At 56.2% G+C, this 17346-nt stretch overlaps 1 protein-coding gene across 10 annotated transcripts in view, besides 3 other annotated features; it reads right to left on the reverse strand.

The window, feature by feature from the left end:
* Window positions 937–1738: an enhancer, noted in NCBI's record as "H3K4me1 hESC enhancer chr11:64372269-64373070 (GRCh37/hg19 assembly coordinates)". NCBI's record gives its function as "activates a minimal SCP1, AML or CMV promoter by ChIP-STARR-seq in naive H9 embryonic stem cells {active_cell/tissue: H9 hESC(naive)}" and the evidence as "EXISTENCE:reporter gene assay evidence [ECO:0000049][PMID:30033119]".
* Window positions 2314–17346, reverse strand: part of NRXN2 (neurexin 2) — a 117024-nt gene continuing 101991 nt past the window's right edge. For 7 of the 10 annotated variants that reach the window (NM_001376266.1, NM_001376265.1, NM_001376267.1 and 4 more), the window contains 2 exons: window positions 16434–16512; window positions 2314–3640 (listed from right to left, as the gene is read on the reverse strand). In NM_001376266.1, coding sequence (NP_001363195.1) covers window positions 3336–3640; window positions 16434–16512 — 384 coding nt within the window. In that variant the 3' untranslated portion in view covers window positions 2314–3335. Of the gene's footprint in view, window positions 4223–16433; window positions 16513–17346 lie in introns of all 10 variants that reach the window. The other 3 variants (NM_138732.3, NM_015080.4, NM_138734.3) reach the window with 1 other exon arrangement.
* Window positions 15966–16582: an enhancer, noted in NCBI's record as "H3K27ac-H3K4me1 hESC enhancer chr11:64387298-64387914 (GRCh37/hg19 assembly coordinates)". NCBI's record gives its function as "activates a minimal SCP1, AML or CMV promoter by ChIP-STARR-seq in naive H9 embryonic stem cells {active_cell/tissue: H9 hESC(naive)}" and the evidence as "EXISTENCE:reporter gene assay evidence [ECO:0000049][PMID:30033119]".
* Window positions 16583–17198: an enhancer, noted in NCBI's record as "H3K27ac-H3K4me1 hESC enhancer chr11:64387915-64388530 (GRCh37/hg19 assembly coordinates)". NCBI's record gives its function as "activates a minimal SCP1, AML or CMV promoter by ChIP-STARR-seq in naive H9 embryonic stem cells {active_cell/tissue: H9 hESC(naive)}" and the evidence as "EXISTENCE:reporter gene assay evidence [ECO:0000049][PMID:30033119]".

Raw genomic sequence — 17346 nt, forward strand, 5'->3', positions numbered from 1 at the left:
CTCAGGACTCACTTTATCCATTCTCCTGCCTCCAGCCAAGCCCATAGCTCACCCAGGAGGATGTGTGGGAAGAGGCAGCACCAAGCCCCACGGGCTCCAAATCTGCCTTCAAGAGGGGGGTTCTATCCGGAAGAGCTGGGCACTGGCTGGGCTGGTGTTCCCTCTCCAGGGGGCTTGCTTGATGAGGGCAAGTCTGTGAACTTCTTCCCCAAATCCCTGTCCTTGAGAACCCTGAGGTGAAATATCCTGACAAATCCCTGTGAGGACCACCCGCCAAGGAGCCAGGATGCCTGGAACCTCAGCCACCATCAGGCCCTGGACACTGGGCCTGTCTGGGACACTGCTGGGGTCACTGCCAGGCCAGCCAGACCCTGAGGAGCTCAGCTCAGTCCCAGATGCTAAGTCCAACATCAGAGGCACAAGATGATAAACTGAGAATCAGGTGACCATCTCTTACAGATGGGTAAACTGAGTCAATGGCTGAGGGTAGGATCTGTCCTCTTATAACCAAGCCCTTGAATGACGGGAACCCTGAGCTGCCTTATGCAGAGAGAAAGACCAAGTCCCACAGTCATATGGCAACCAGCAGGACTGGGGTCCATCCTTCCAACTCCTGGACTGCCCCGCTTTCTGCCTCCCTACCCTGATATACTGTCCCCTATCCTGTTTAGGGTCATTCTAGAAATTTCTGGAGTAAGGATATTCCTTCCCTTCCTAACACCAAGGAGCCCCTGCCTGCCTGTCTTTGTTTCTTTGGCTAGTTGTGATGGGAGGAGGGGAATCCAAGCTGTCTCCGTCCCTTGGTCAGAGAGAGTAGCGGCAGGGGGCCCCAAAGGTTCCAATCACCAGCCCAGGAACGGGAGGACATCCTAGCAAGAATGCCCCAAACCAGGGCCTCTCCCAGACTTCCACAGGTGCTTAGAGCTGACCTCAATGATGCTGACCGTGGCTCCAAGACTGAGCAGTTGGGGGACAAGCAGGGCCGGAGCCTCACCCCTCAGGAGCTGGATCAGAAGGGCAAGGAGAGGCTGAGTCCATAGAAATCCACACCTGGAGCTCTGCTCTCTCACCCTTGTTAGGATTTTGCAGGAGGAATCTCAAGAGGTCCTGAGAGGCACCATGGTGGGGAGGGTCCCAAGACAAAAGCCTCCTTCAGGGATGGAGAGAAGGAAGAGAAGGAGATGAGGCTGACCTTGGCCTCTGGAGATAGCTGGAGGCTGCTCAGGTCAGGACCTGCCACTCCCACTAAGGGATGTTCCCCAGCTGAAGGGTGGGGCTCCTGCAGGCATGGAGGCAGCCAGGCCTAAAGATGGACCAGGCTTTTGAACAGCAAAATGCCTCGAGGATGAGCTGGCCAACAGCCAGAGCCCCCTGCAGACAGAAAATCAAGATGCAGAATCGGGCAGTGGAGGGGATGGCAAGCCAAGGGTGTGAGGAAGCCTGGCGGAGGGGAGGGCTGAGAAGCCGATCGAGGGGGGGACCCTGAGTGACACAGCATGGCTGAGTCATGTCTCATGAGCCAGGTGGTGCAACGCCCCACCACTGCCATCCTTGAGGTCCGCAACCCTCCTCGCTCTCCTCTCCTGACAATGCTGTACACGTGGTTATCTGTCCCTTGCGACTGAGAGGCTTAACAAATACAGATCCATCTCTTAGCATCTCCGGACCATGGACCTGTTAGGGTCTCCACAGAGGAGTAAACAACGGTGGACGAGGTGGCTGGCCCTGGTTCCACCTTCAGTCCCAGCAGCTGCCCAGTCAAGCAGAGTGGACTTGGGGGAAGGTAGGGTACCAGGGTCCAAATCCCTAGAGAGGAAGGGGAAGGAGCACAGACTCTAGAGTCAGGCAGAGCAGGAGACCACTGGGACTCAGTCACTCATTCACCTCGAGACCTGGGAGCAGCCACTGAAGGTCTCCAAGCCCAGGAATGACCTCCTCCCTCCAAGGGCTGCTGAAGGATGAGGCAGCATCTGTCCCGCACCCAGGTCTGTGCCCGGGCACACATGCCCCGAGGTGTGGATCCAGTAGCCATCAGGGGGCAACACAAGGTCTCCAGGGATCTGTCTGCCTTTCTGAGAAGCTAAGGTCTGTGAACCGGCCAGAGACCAGCCATGTTTCCCGCCCGTTCCTCAGCCCAGCAGGGATACAGGACACTGTGAGACAAAGACAAGTTATCCCAGGAACCCAAAGCCACACTCAACCCAAAAGTTCGGGAGCAACTTACCAGCTCTTGTGGGCCCCCATGTGGGCCCAGACCCCAGCCAAAAGCCAGGATCTAACAGCACCCACCCCCAAAAAAACTGCACAGGACCGTTGGAATTTGGAAAGTTTTTGTTTTCTTTTTCCCACACATTTCCGGGGTTGGGGTGTTTTCCAAGACTCAGACACATTTGTTAACAAAGAGAGAAAAAAAACTGGGGGAGCAGGGAGCCCGTGGGCAAAGAAGTGACCCCAGCAGTCTGTGGACAATGCCTTGCTCCCTCTTCCCTGCTGCCCGCGCCCAGCGGGTGCCACAGGCTGCTGCTCGTGGAATCTAGAGTATTTGTCTGTAATATATATCTGCATTTGCCTTTCCCCTCCCTCCCACCCCCCACCCCTGCTCCTCCAGCAGCTTCCCCATCAATGCACGTCGCCCGGCGGCACACACAGAACAGGCCTTCCGTCAGGCCTGAGCCCCTTCCCTGGGCGGCACCAAGCAGGTGCCTCTCCTGGTGAGGGGAGTTGGGGCACTTGCCCCACCCCACCCCACCCACCCACTGGGCCACTCGGGCCCACCCTCCCGCCCTTCTCCCACCGACTCTGGAAACCCAAAGGGAGGAAAGGAAGGGAGAAACCAGACACACAAAAAAAGAAGTAGGGAAGGAGGGTGGGGACAGTGAGACACAGCAAGCCTGGGATGGGGATTGGAGGGCTTGGGAAGAGAAGGAAGGCAGGAGGGACAGAAGGAAGAAGAAGAAAAATTGAGGAAAATTAACAGGACGAGCAGTGGACACTTTACAAAACCCCCAGCCTTCCTTCCCACCCAACCCCACCAAAATAAAACTACCCCCTTAAAAAAATAAATCAACCCAGGGCTGTGAGCACGTGCCCTGCCTGGCAGGCGCAGAGCTGAGAGGGACAGTCAGCCCCGGGACTGACGAGGCCGCGCAGTGGACGGCAGGAGGAAGGGGGCGAGCACGGGGTTTTTCCTTTTCTTTTTTTGCGTTTCCTCTTCGTAAGAGAAGCCTGAGGCAGCCAGGGAGAGGGTCCCCAGGCCCCTGGCAGGGAGAGGGTGGCACCCTCCTCCCGGGCCCTCCCAGGAGGGGCAGCTGGCAGTGGGGCGCAGTGCCGGGGGCTCAGACATAATACTCCTTGTCTTTGTTCTTCTTGGCCTTGCTGGGCGTCTTGGGGGCAGCCGGGGCCTTCTCTTTCACCACCGCCCCATTGCTCTGGGCCGAGTTACTGATGTAGTTTCGGCTCTGGTCCACCTGGTAGGAGCCCTCATCACGATTGCGGTACTTATACATGGCGTAGAGGAGGATGAGGATGCAGAGCGCCGCCGCCGCCACAATGCCCACCACCATGCCCGTGGTGCTGCTGGACTCCCGGATCACCTCCACTGCGCCCGGCGGGCCCCGCTCCCCAGGCCCTGTGGGGTTGGCTGTGGGCAGATGGGGGAAGCCGGGGGCTGAGGTCACGCCGGGGCGCAGGGGAGGGGGCCTCCGCGGCTCAAAGGACGTGGGGGCCCCGGGCCCCAAGGGCGGGTTCTCCAGCAAGGGCTGAAGCGGGTCTCGGTGGTTCATTTTGCCCGCCGGCAGGTTGGGGGCCGGGGCGGAGGGGGCAAACAGCACCCCAGGGGCGCCCGTGGCCCCATCTGTCCTGAGGTTGGGCCGGGGAGCGGGTTTGCGGGGTGACAGGAGGGTGGTGCGGTCCGTGACCAGGGGAAAGGTGGTGTAAAAGTCCTCGTCGTCCGTGGGGGGGAGGCTGGAGTCAAAGACCTCCCCGGAGGCGAAGCCCGAGGCCTCGATGGGCTCCTCGCAGTCGCTGTCGTCCCGCTCGGCCTGGCACGGGCCCCCAGAGGGCGGGCGGCGCGCGGCGGGCGGGGGCAGCGTGTCTTGGGTGGCGCCCACTCCCGTGAGGAAGGGGTAGAAGGTAGGGGGCGGGGGCACGAAGGGGGATCGGGTGGCCACGGGAGGGGGGTCTAAGGAGTCCTCCGTGATAATGGGCAATATTAACTCTCCTCCTAGAACAAGAGAGAGAAGAGAAAAGAGAGGGCGTCAGCGAGGGCCAGGGCGCAGGCGGCCGGCACAGAGAGAGAAACAACAGCCTCACACACCCAAATCGGTTCCAATTGGCTTTGGCGGAGACTAGAGCGGGCTGGGCCCGCCCGCCAGCCGGCCGAGCACTGCGCTTTAAGCGGGCAGCGGCTCAGATGCCCTGGGCACCCCACGCACGGGCTCTGTGACTCTCTGGGTTTTGGTCTTTTGTTTGTCTTAAGAAATCAAAAGGAACAGAAAGGAAAGGAAATTGAAAAGAAACAGAAAAAAAAACTCTACTGGTTTAAGGCTTTAAAAACAGATACAACAGCAGCATTTAAACAAACCTAACAACAATATCTTTTAGGGTTTTTTTTCTAGATTTTTCTCTTTTTTTGCTTTTTTTTTTTTTTTTTGCTTTTGTTTTTAAAAAAGAAGATAGCATACCACGGAATTCAGGCAACTTACATCAACAAATAGGCCGTGTGATTTTAGCATGAAGAAAAAAATTACAAACAGAGCTGTGTAAGCGGGTTCTCCCGGAAAAAAAATAAGAAAAAACAACTTTTCCGTACAACGTTTTCTGTCTATCTGTTCGGTATCTCCCTCCCTCACTCTCTGCTCCCTGCGCATCCTGCCTCCTCCTGAACTCTCTCTCCGCCCTCACTTGTCCCTCTCCCCCTCATTCAACACAAAGCTGAACTCTGCACAGGGCAGGCTGGGGCTGAGGGGTGGTTTCCACCACTTGGTGTCAGCATGTCGGGGAGGGAGGAACAGTGGGCAGGAGGGCTTAGAGAGTAGGGACATGACAGGCAGCCATGTAGGGATTGCTACATGGGTGAGAGGTCTTGGGAGGGGACGGCCACGGGAGGGGGCTTGGAAAGCTAATTGCAGGGTGGCCACGGGAGGCGAGACATCGAAAGTGGGAGGTGAGGTGGCCCATGAGGAAGAGTGGGCAGGGAGGAGTTGGATACCACTGGAGCAGGGTCCTGTCCCGTAGGACTCTGGGAGGGGTGGAGAGAAGCCATGTAGAGGCAGGGAGGTAGGGAGGGGCAAGGAAGGAGGGGAGTGGGCAGGGACACATGGTTCCTGAGCTAAGCCTAACTCCCCAACTTTCTCATTCTTCACCCTCCACCTCTGACCCCCACTGACTTCCCCCCTCCCCCTCCCCAGAACCCCCATGGGCCGCCAGGACCTGGCCAGGGCTTGACTGCCTCTGGCCCTCTTATTATAGTTAAAACAATAACAAAACAACGGAAAGAAGAAGAAAGCAAAAAAAGAAAAGAAAATACATACACAGCCATCTGGGAGGGAAGCACCTGCTAAATAGGGCCCATGGGAATGAGAGGGGAGGGCTTTGTGAGGGGAGAATGGGTCTCCCCATCTCTAGGTCTGATAACTGGAGTCCCTTGGGCAGAAACTGCAATTCCCATCAGCCCCCAAAAGGTGAGAACTATAACTCCCATCAGTCCTTGGAGGAGTGTAGAACACAATTCCCATCAGCCACTGAGTCAACAACTGTGACTCCCATCAGCCTCCTGGTCCTCCTCTCAAACCAAAATTGTGCAACCTCCTGGTTTGGGGTAGAAGGGAGCTGGGGCTCAGCTCTAGGTGGCTGGTGGGAGGACTTGCTCCTCTTGCAGGGGCACCTCTGGGCCTGACGAGGGTTGGAGGTTTCCTCTCTGGCTCTCTCTTCAGCACAGCCTAAGCCCTGCCCACATCTGAGTGCCTCTCGCTGGTCTCTGCAGGGTGTGGTCTTCATAGATCACGCCCAGAAGCCCCTCAGCCTCTTGGTGGTAAAGCACCCCAGGGCCTCCACTGCCAGGTCCCGCCTGCCCCACTGCAGCCCCACTGCAGCCAGGCCAGCCACATTCCACCTTCACATCTTGGCGCTCTTCTCCTGCTCCCCACCCACCCACAGCCCTCTGCCTCTGCCCTGAGTTCAAACACTGTTGCCAACCTTCAGATCACAAGCTCCAGCAATGTTACAGAGCTGTCCTTGGCCACGCCAGCCAGCCTGTGGCCAAGACCTTTCCATTGAACTTGAAGGCTTGCTGAGCTCCCCAGGCTGCTCTTCCCACCCGACTCCAATCTCCCCTGGCCAGGGGCTCACCTACACCCTAGATTTTGAAACCCCAGGGCTCCTGGCCCTCCAAAGGCTCAGTCACAGTGAAAAACTTTGAGCTACGAGCAAAGTAGCATGTTTTGTGGAGCTGGGACTATCTGATCCCAGCTCGTTATGGATAAGAATGCTGAGGCCTGGGTGGGCAGGACTTCCCAAGATCACCAGGTGTAGGTGCCCAGCAAGGTGAGTGAGGCCGGGGAAGGGCTAGATCTCATGAGGAGCCCAAGAAAACCTAAGTCATCCTCCCAATGCCTCCAGGAATCTGTTGGGGCTGCTTGACTCTTGGCTTGGATGCTAACTTGGATGACAGAACACCTGTTCTGTCACTGAGTTCCTGTGTGACTGTGGGCAAGTTTCTTCCAGTCTCTAGGCCTCAGTTTCCTCATCTATAAAACTGGGGTATTAGGCTCCAGGCCCAGGATGAGGCCAAGGCTTGGCTCTTGTGGGACCTCTAGCCTTTGGATGAACAAATATGTCTTCCTGTACCCACCTGGGATCCAGACAAGGAAAGCCAGCACCCTGGTCTCCAGGTAAGGGGCAAACTCAGCTGTCAGCTCTCAGGAGGGTTGGCAGCCTCTCGAGCGGTCGTAACCTGGGCCCAATCATGGCAGGGTTCCCCTCCCTGCATGAACCCTGAGTGCCTCTGGGGTCCTTCCTGCTGGTCCATACCACCAGCCCTCTACCTGACCTTTGCCTTCTATTCAGAACACCCTTCCCTGCTGACATCTCAGAGTCTGGCCAAACACCTCCTCTTCCAGGCAGAGGATGCTCCCTGCCTTGAGTGTCTCTGACACCATATCCCAATTCTGTCCTGGAGGCATGGCTTTGTACTCACTGCCAGGGAAGGGCCAACGGCCCGGGTCCTATCTGTCTCCCTAACCTCCAGCAGTGGGCCTGGCACAGAATTGGGGCTCGTTATGCTTTTCCAGGGGAAGGGGAGTAATATTCCTCAGGCATTTCCTCTGAGCCAGGCCAGGCTAGGTATCTAGGGAAGGGAGTGGGCGTCTCTCTCACAGGCCAGAGCAGCTGAGTTCTAAACACCCCACCCCCTCCACCCTCTTAGGCAGCAGGCACTATGGAGAGCTTACCTTGGCAGCAGCCTTTCTCTACAAACCAGCTCCCACCCCAGCTCACCACCTTCCATCTTAGACTGGGCCACCAGCTGCTGCTGGAAACCCCAGCGTCAAGGCTTGGCCTAAGCTGGCTGGTCATAGCTGGGGCCCCAGCAAAGTGCCAGGCCCAGGGCACAGGACCAGACCAGGAGGCCCTTGCTGAGGCCACATCCTGCCCTAGAGGGGCTGACAGGCTGATCAGGGCACAGAGCTTGGCTCTCTACCAACCTGCTGTCCCCAGCCAGGCTAGGGCATGGGGGCTTCAGGCCTTGGACCACAAACAAGTCTTACCCAGCCTAAGCCCCCTACAACCATTTTCCCTAGCTAAGCCCTTGGGACACACAGGCTCCTCGGGTCACCCTTCTGCAGCCTTCCTCTGCCCCCAGACTCCTCCCAGGCCTGCTCACATTGACCTCTTGCCCCTCCAACCCCAGCTGCTTCCTGGTCTCCATATCTGGGTCCCAGCCCTGTCCCCTGCATCTGCAGCTCCTCTGGGGCTTCCCTGGGCCCTTCTCTGCCCAAGGCTTTGACTGTACGATCTCCTGAGGTGTCCTCCCCTCACCCACACCCCCCCACACTGCCATGACTCCCCCTCGGTGCCCCCTTCTCATGGTAGCCTCTGTCTCCCACATGGCTTCCTCTCCGTTTCCTCCCAGTGTCCCACACCCCACTTCCTCTCCACAAGATAAAAGGCTCTGGAGAACCCATGAGAACGCATGAGGACTTCCTTCCCTGGGCTCACTCAACCCGGCCTAGGCTCTGGGGCAATCAAGTCACCTAACGTAGGGTGCTGGGCTTTCCCGGATCACACACCAGTTCAGGAAGGATCAGAAGAGGCTGTCCTGGTGAGGAGTTGGCAGGACCTGGAGGAGGGGAGGACCGGGCTCCTCAAAGACTCCTCCCTGCCAAAAGCCCAACCGCTGCCCGTGCTGCTGGGTTTTGTGGGTGCAGACTCACAATGACTCATGGTCCAGCTCTACACTAAGGATGCATCCTGGAATGGGGTGCTCCTAGGAGCCAGAGGAGTCTGATAGGACCCCAGGCAGCCTCCCGCCTCTCCCCAACTTCAGGCAGCTGCAGCATTTGGAAAATACTCACAGGTGCACACTTAGCACAGATGCCACCCGCCCACCCAACACTCCTCTGCATCCTAAGAAAAACTGAATTTCAGTGCATGTGGGCCCCACTTACTAGAGAATGCCATCCCTGACCAGGGGGACCACCAGCCATTCCTGATCTCCCCTTCCTCCCCAACTCTCCTTCCTCTGGGGACTGCTGGCCCAACAAAGTTAGCCCCCTTCTGCCCTTAGGGCACAGAAGGCCCCTGACTGGAACTACCCAAGAACCCCATTCTCACCCAAGCAAGGTGTGCCCACCCCCAAAGGGGAGTCTAGAATTGAGGTTGAGCATATTCAAGACTAAGCAGTGAGCTGGAGGCCCTGCCCAGGCTGTGAGGGGCAAGAAAGCCACCAGCCTACAGGGCATTTCATGGGGGTTAGAAAACACAGTTCTATGCGGACGTGACCCTGTGGTGCATGATTTCACAAACAGTACCTTCATGCAATATTGGAAAAACCATTCTCTCCTCTCAGTGGACACGGTCCTGTTCTGGTGCTCAGGACACATGGCTGGGCAAGCAGAGCCCTGGGCAGATATCAGCCCCTACTCACCTGTGCGAGCAGAGAGCAACCTGTGCCACTGTGTATGGTGCCCTGAAGGACAGTGCCCCTCGCCACCCACAAGCACCAGTACTGCAAGGGCAGAGGCCAGGGTATTTCAAGGTAAGAAAAAAACGGTACATTGTGGCATATGCACATGCACACACACACACTGAGGATCTGTGTTTCTGTGCCCCAAGCACATGTGTGCATGCATGTATGTGAACCTAGATGGATCTGAGCATGAGCGTGTGCATGTCAGTGAGTGGACCTCTGGCTCTGGCATGTGCCTGCCGGCCACTGAGCCTGGGTCTGAGTTCCGTGTGCACATGTCCATATGTGAACATGCCCCAGAACATGTGAGTGCACCACAGGCATCTGAGCACCAGCGGTGCACCCCAGGGAACGCGTCCTTCACCAAACTCATTTTCCCCTTCTCCTGGGAAGCAAGACTACATTTCCTGACATCCCCTGTGAGTAGGCCTGGTGTATGACTGAGTAGTGGGCACTGCCCGTACCAGTGCCCCAGCAGCCTCCTGGTGCCACTTTCCATGCTCCTTCTCCTGCAGTGACCTTGGAAACCACAAGTTGAAAATGGAGGCACCACAGATGGAAGGAGTGTGGATTCCTAAAGCACCCTTGGCAGCAGAGCCACCTGCTGATCAGGCATACCCAGGTAGGGTGCACCTGAGTGAGAAACTTCTCTTGAATTAACTACGGAGATCCGGGGCTTATCTGTTACAGAAACAAATGTTACTTTAACTAATATAGACACTGGCACCAGAAATGGATGTCACGATAACACAAACCTGAGAAGGCACTCGTGACAATCCAAGGCGTGGAGGCTGGGAAGATAAAACCCACATAATGCAGTGGCAAAGCATGTGGTGCACACCGTTGCTCATGAGAACCTGGAGGGTAGGCACTGCCTGTGGAGTCTGGGCACTGAGGGAAAGGGCTGGGAAAGGCCACTGACCATGAGGCTTCTACTTTCTACTTTTAGTAACATAGTACAAGGAAGAGACCAAGGAGGCAAGGAGTATGAGGAGGCAAGAACTGGCTGGTTTGCAAGCAGAAGTGAAAAGAATACAGAGAGCCCAGAAATCTGCATCCCACAAGAGTCAGAAGAGGCCACTGCTTCCAAACAGTAAGAGAGAAAAGTGAAAAAGGCTTTGAGGACAATGGCGCAGTAAAACTTCTCACCTGAATAAGAGCACTCAGCCTTGCTCAAGGATCAGATTTAGGGGTTGCCCCCCGCCCCCGCAACCTCCCACCTATTGTTTCAAATGTCCTCAAGACAATCACCACTGTATTAAGAGAAAGAGGCATGGGGGCAGAGCAACAAGGAAATAAATGAGGCTTGAGAACTGTGTCTAGGTGGGGTTACTTTGAACCTTAAACCACCCTTGGGCCCCAAATCTGCATGAGCAGGGGTGGGCTATCATGCTACAGCACCCCCAAGGAGGACATTGTTCCCAACACCCACTTCAGACATGGCCATGGAGAAGGAGGACTGGGAGGAACTTCCCAGAGGGGACAGCCAGGGACCCCAGACAAAGGAGAGGGGAGTCTCCCCCAGAGAGCAGAATCTCTCCCAGGGTTTAATGAAGAAATTTCCCCCACTGCAGGGGCAGAGAGCCTGGCCTGCCTGCCTGCTGGATTTCCTCAGCGCTAGCAGCACACATTGGCCTGTGTGAATCTAGGCTGCTGTGTGTCTTCCATTTTTCCCTCTGCCCCACACCACAGTATGCTGGGTGTGTATCGGGCTGTGGGAGCAGTGAGATAAATGATCCATTTAGTTCCTGGGTATCCAGATCACATATGGGTCCCCATTCCAGAGGAGCCAGGTCTTGACTGGATGCGGTGGGCCACCATCTCCCAGACATCATGAGCTTTGAGATGAATGCCCTAGCTGGTTGGGACTTTGGGTGGTCTCCCTTGGGGAGGGGTGGGTGTGTCCTGGAGGTGAGAAAGAGTGAAACGGATCCTTGATGACCACAGGCAAGCCGGTGACAAATAATTCACTAGCTGGGCCCCAGACCTGTTTCTGCTTCCTCCTCAGGGCACAGCAAGGCCATACCTCACAGCCTTCCTTAAAGCTAGGCTGGGCCCCATGACTGAGCTCCAGGCAACAGAATGTGGGCAGGAGCCTGCACGCCTCTCCCACGGCTGGCCCATAAAATCTTCCACTTCACAACTCCATGCCGGGTCCCCTTCCACCACAACTCAGGAAGTCACCTGTTGAAGATGGTGCAGCCACAAGATGGAGAGGGTCCAAGCCTTGAGTCATCACTTGGAGAAGAGTGGCCCACCAATCAGGAACACTTGTTTATAACTTACATGAATGAGAAATACATTTCTATGTGTTAAACCAATAGATGTTGTCTATTATAGCAACTAGTGCTACCTTGAGACCCTCTTGGAATCTGAACACACTGTGGTTCTACGGGTCTCGGCAAATGTGTCTGTGACTCTGTGGAGTTAAGCCTGCATGTGCCTCTGAGGGTCTCATTCATGTGTGCATGAGGGCAATGCTTCAGGAGGGATGCTTGCATGGAGTAAGTGCAGGAGGCTGCTTCTGTGGGTCTGAGCATACATGGGCCTGGGTGAATCTGAATACACATGTGTGTATGTGTGTGCTCCTGTGGGTCTAAACAACTGTGTGTACTTACCTGAGTGGGAGCACACAGGCATACAGGCATGCCTTGTACTGTGTCTGAACATGTGTGCATGCCCTACAAGTCTGAGGATATGTGTGTGCCCTTCTGTGTGCCACTGCATGGGTACCTTGGAGCACAGAAGTGCACTTGCACCTGTGTGGGCTAATGTAGGCCCAAGCGTGTGTGTGTGTGTGTGTGTGTGTGTGTGTGTGTGTGTGTATGTGTATACCTCTGTACAGGTCTAAGCACATGAACTTGCATGTCTATGCATATGTGTGTACATATGTATTCTTCTGTGAGTGTGAACCAGTATGCATGTTTCAGCAGGTAAGCGTGTGTGTGTGTGTGTACACTGCTGTGGCACTCAGCACATTGACTGTGCATGGAAGTATGAGCTTCTATAGGGGCGGGCTTGGTGGGAGAGGTGCAGGTCTGTGAAGCTGAACAAATTGTGTGTGTATGAGGCCCCTGGGGTTGAGCACACAGCCTGCCTCTGAGAATGTGCACATCTGAACCCCTGTGAGTCTTACCCAGGTGCACATTTGTGTACATGTGGGCATGCCTCTGGGGGTTGGACACACATGTTGGTGCATGAGTACACCTCTCTGCAGATATGTATGTGTGCATTGTGGTGAGTATACTTATACACACATGTACCTCTGTGAGCCTGGTCATAGATGTGCATTTCTGTAAGTACATGTGGGCACACATGTGCACTGTGGTGGGTCTAAGCACACTGCTTACTTGCCTGATCTGAACATGCATACAGGTCTCTGCGGTTCTGAAACACATGTGAGCATCTGCCTGTCTGAACATGCATGTAGGACTCTGTGGTCTGAGCACCTGTGTGTGTTACACAGGTGGATCTGTGCACATATGTGTGCCTCTGAGCTGAGCACAGATGTATAATCTGTGAGTCCGAGGGCGTGTCACAAGGTATATGTCTCACTGAGCCTAAGCACATATTCACACACACTCAGGTCTGAACACAGATGTGTGTGTCCTGTCCTGAGTGCCTGCAATATGCAAGTCTGTCTCTGGGTCTGAGCATGTGTGTGTGATTCTGAACATTCAGCATGGGTGTCAGTAGATATGAGTGTGTGGGTGTGCCTCAGTGGGTCTGAACATGCATGCACACATAGCTCAGAACACAGCCAAGTGCCTTGGTGTGAGACACACAATATGTGTGCCTTGGTGCAACTGAACACACACACAAGTGTGAACCTCTGGGAGCTGAGTAGGTGCACACGTGTGCATCTGAGTGCCTCTGCGGCTATTTCTGGAGCTCTAAGCACACACATGCAAGAGTTGGTAGCTCTGAGTGCATGCATGTGCTTTCATTAGGCTATGCATGTGTGCATGAGTTTATGCTTCTGTGAGTCTCAACAGGTGTGTATCTGTGTTTATGGACTTCAGGGGGGTATAAGCACACACATGTCTCTTGGAGTCTAAGCATGTGTGTGCCTCTGTTGGTCTAGGTACAAATAGTGTGTGCTCCTCTAGGTTTGAACGTGTGTGTGTGTGTATGTGTGTGTGTGGAAGTGGGCCCATGTGAGCTTGCTGGTGGGTATGTAAATGTATGTATGTGTAGGGCTGTATGTGTGCATGCCTCTGGTCATACATGTGCATACAGACCCTGCCTCTGTGGGTCTGAGCCTGTGTGTGCTCTTCTCTTCCTGCACGTCTCGGGTTGTGCAAAGTCAGATCCCCTCAGGGGCCAGGCCCAGGACACAATATGTGGGTTGGGCCAGCTGAGACAACTATGAGTGGGTACATTACCGATGGTGCATGCCCTGCTAAAGGCACTCCCATTCAAAAGCCAACCTCAGCTAAAATAACCGTGTAGATGATGGTCTCACTAAACAAGGGAGAAAGTATGGGCCAGGGTCTGTGGAGGAGCCCAGGTTAGGGAAAAGGGTGAAAAGGTGAGCAGAAATGATCCCAGACCCAGGGATGAGGATCTGCAAGGTGGGAGAGGTAAAACCCCATGGGGTCTCCAGCGAGGCTGCCCCCACCTCTGACACTGGAGCCAAGGGAGTCCTGGCCGTCTGCTGGAGAAAAGCCTCCTTGCATTTGGGCCTGGGAGAGGCTCTGGGCGGCATGGCATGGTCTACACGAGACTGGGAGACCCTGGAGTCATTTTGGTCCTTGCCTGGCCTCCCATTGGGATGATGAGGATCCATCGTTAAACCTTTCACAGTGGTGCAAATGTGGACGTGTAAGCATGTGCGATGCAGGCTTAGGGGAGAGGCTGTGGCTTCTGGCAGTTTCCTCTGGGGGCTCCAGAGTGTACTCTGCCCTCCCTCCTGGCCTTACTTTTAAAGCTGGGTGCTGGAATGGCTATCAGCCCCTCTCTATCCCAGGCTTCTAGACCTCCTCCACCCTTCATCCTCTACTTGGCCCTTTTCCCAAGAGGGTGGCTCAGTGGTCAGTGACCTCACAGATCCCTGACTGGGAACCAGCTGACCCGCCTGCTTCAGCGCCTCCTCACCCTCTGCCCTAATGCAGCCTAAAAGGGCTCAGACCACCAATGCACCCATTCAGCATCAGACCCAGGCCCCTGACTAGACTCCAAGACAGGGCTGGGAGGCTAGAACTTCGGTGGGCAGAGTATGGCCCAGGTGGGATCCAGTGTGCACTGCATGCCCCTACGTGGTGACCATCTGGCCCCAGATACCCCTCTGCAGGGTGCAGGGAAAGCAGAGACTCCTCCTGTTACCCAGGAATTCCTGTCCCAGAGTGTGTGAACATGGGCACCTGTGTGTAAACACATGTGGTGCCACTCAGTGCCCTTTCTTCAGGACCCTCAAAGACCGTTGTCCCCAGAGCCCCGTCCCAGAGCTTTTATGGGGCCGCTCATCACAGCCACTTCCAGCAGGCCTGGGCTAGCAGTGCTGTGTTGGCCACAGGAGCCACCAATAAACGCCTAGAGCTCAGAGCAGTAAAGCAGGGCAGGGGGTACTGTGTGTTGAAGTCACCAGATGCCCAGAGCCCCCCAAAGCAATGGAGGCATTGGAGTGTACATCCTTGAGCCAAGATCGCCCCAGGGGAAGAAGTAACAGCACTCAGCAGAGGGGCCTCCTAGAGAGGAAGGCATCTGACCCAGAAAGCACAGGCCCTGGGCTATGGAAAGGAAGGCCTTTCTGGCCCAGCAGCTGGCAGCTCCCCTGAAGGTCCCTGGGCCCAGGCCCATGGGAATGACCCCTCTCAGCTCTAGCCTACTTGGGGGACATGGAGGGCAACTGGGCTTTAGCCTCTGGGTCTGGGCGCCTGTGCCCCAGAAACCCCTCTGCCCTTGGTTTTTGAAGCTGAGCCTCTGCCCCAAGGCTCCACAGGCCATGCTATGGTCCTGCTCTATCCACACCCCTTCCAAGGTCGTGGCCCACCCTCAGCCTGAATGTCTTTTCTGGAGCTGGGAGGCCCCCAGGCCAGATTCACAGGATGTATCCAGGGCTCACTGCCCACCTCCTGACCACATAATCTCCCCCAACCCCGCAAGCACCGGCCCCAACCTCCAGCCTTCTGGTACCAACAACCCAGGTGCCACCCATTGCAAGGTAATGGGGAGAAGTCTCCAGCAGCCCAAGCGAGAAACGTGGGTGGCCCTCCACTCCCACAGACTCATCTGGCAGCCACCGAGGCCCACACTCCTCCACTGGGAAATCTGGCCACATCCAGTCCTTTCTCTGCTCCCTCTGCCAGCCTCAAGTATCCCACCCTCCCCCAGCTGCTCTTGGCCACCCCCAACCTGCTCAAATGAGCAGCCTTGGCACTCACTGCACCACTCCACATCCCACACTTCTCAAGCAGCACTCAAGGCCACCCCCGCTTTGCCAGCCTGGTCTCTCTCTGTGGCTGCACCCTTGGCTCCAGCAAGAAGTATCAAGCAGAGGCCTAGAAAGCACTCCCTGGCCCCATTGCCCCAGGCCCTGGAGAGCCTTCCCTCCCAGCCCTGCTCTCCTCCTACAGCAGCTCCCCCACTAGAATCTGGGCCAGACCTCAGGCCCTAATATTCCCCAGGAGACCACAAGTCTGGTCTAGGGGGAACCTCCCACCCAGCACACTATCGGATTCAGAGCAGTCACTGTGTTGTAACTGCCTCACCTTGGCCTGGCAGTCCTGGCAGTGTCCACTCTGGGAACACTTCAGACAGAGCACAGGACACCTCCCAACACCCAGGAGAAGAGGAGGGCCCAGGATCCAGCAGAGATCTCCTCTACTAGTGGCCTAGAGAGCACCAGGCCTCAGGGGCAGGTGGGAGTTGTGGTTCTGGACCCAAGAACTGATGGGAGTTGTAGTTCCTAAGCCATGTTCACCCTCCCCCACCCCAGGGACTCATGGGAGCTGCAGTTACTCATCCTCCTAGGGAAACGCCTCCCTCCTTCTCTCCCAGCACCTCTTGGCTCTCAACCCCAGGACCCCAGGCTAAGGACCTCACTACCTCTGAGGGGCTGGGAACCAAAAGGCATCTTGCCAGAGAGCAGCTGAGGGACTGGGAGGATGTTAGGCAAGGGGGAACTATCAGGGAAAGCTAAGGCCTGGCAGCAGGCCCTGGGGCTTGGGCCAGGTGGCAGGGACAGTCGCCCCCCTCCCAGCAGCATCGCAGAGGGACCCGGGGCAGGGGAGGGGGGAAAGGCACTCACCAGTACTGGGCTCACACTCCTCCAGGTCCTCATCATCGCTTGGACACTCAGCAGAGGCCACCAGCAGGTCATCTGTGTTCTGAGGGGCGAGAGAAGGGGTGGGGAAAGAGAGGTTCCAGGCAGGTCAGCAGATCCCACAGCTGCCACTTGAGGTGCACGGTGGCACGGGGGATGCCCCTGGGCTGAGACGGACCAGACTGGTCTGAGTCCCAGCCCTCCCATCTCTTGCTGGCTGACCTCGGGCCTCCATTTCCTGCTATGCACAGGGAACTCCCCAGCAACAGCCCTGCAGGTTTTCATGGCTTCCGAAGGTCAGTGAAACAGCACACATGGTGCTTTTTATTTCTCGGAAGTGAGGAGAGTGGACGCCAGACTTTGACCTGCAGCGCCAGGGCAAGAGGATCTAGGATGCCTCAGGGAAGGTGCCAGGGAGGCAAGGCCCTATGGGGCGGAGCCTGCAGAGGCCAGCGCAGGCAGAATAGGGCCAGGCCCTGGAGGGTTTCCTGGCTCCAGCTTCACCACCCATCACCCCTCATCTCTCTCCCAACCCCCTTTCCTGGAGCCTGAGAGAGCCGGGCTGCACACAGTAATTAGGGCTGTGGTTGCCATGACGACAAGAGAAGACTTTGTCAGCATTTTCTCTCTTACTTATTGCAAAGAAAGAGAATCCCCAAGATGAGTGAGTGTAAGGAGGAGGGGGGCGCTCAGGGGCATGAAGGAGGAGACCCAAGGAGGGAAATCAAAAGTCCAGGCAAGAAGGGAGCGCGAGAAACTGCGGGAAGGTGAGGAGAGAGCTAGGCTGAAGGACAAGGACGAGCAGGGTTGAAAGGGTCATAACCTGCCTCTTCCCAGCCCATGATCTTCAGACTCAACAGCCCTCACTCACCCAAGGGCAAGGCAGTGCCTGGAGGAC

Source organism: Homo sapiens, chromosome 11, assembly GCF_000001405.40.
Source record: "Homo sapiens chromosome 11, GRCh38.p14 Primary Assembly".
In the NCBI taxonomy this organism is placed as follows: domain Eukaryota; kingdom Metazoa; phylum Chordata; class Mammalia; order Primates; family Hominidae; genus Homo; species Homo sapiens.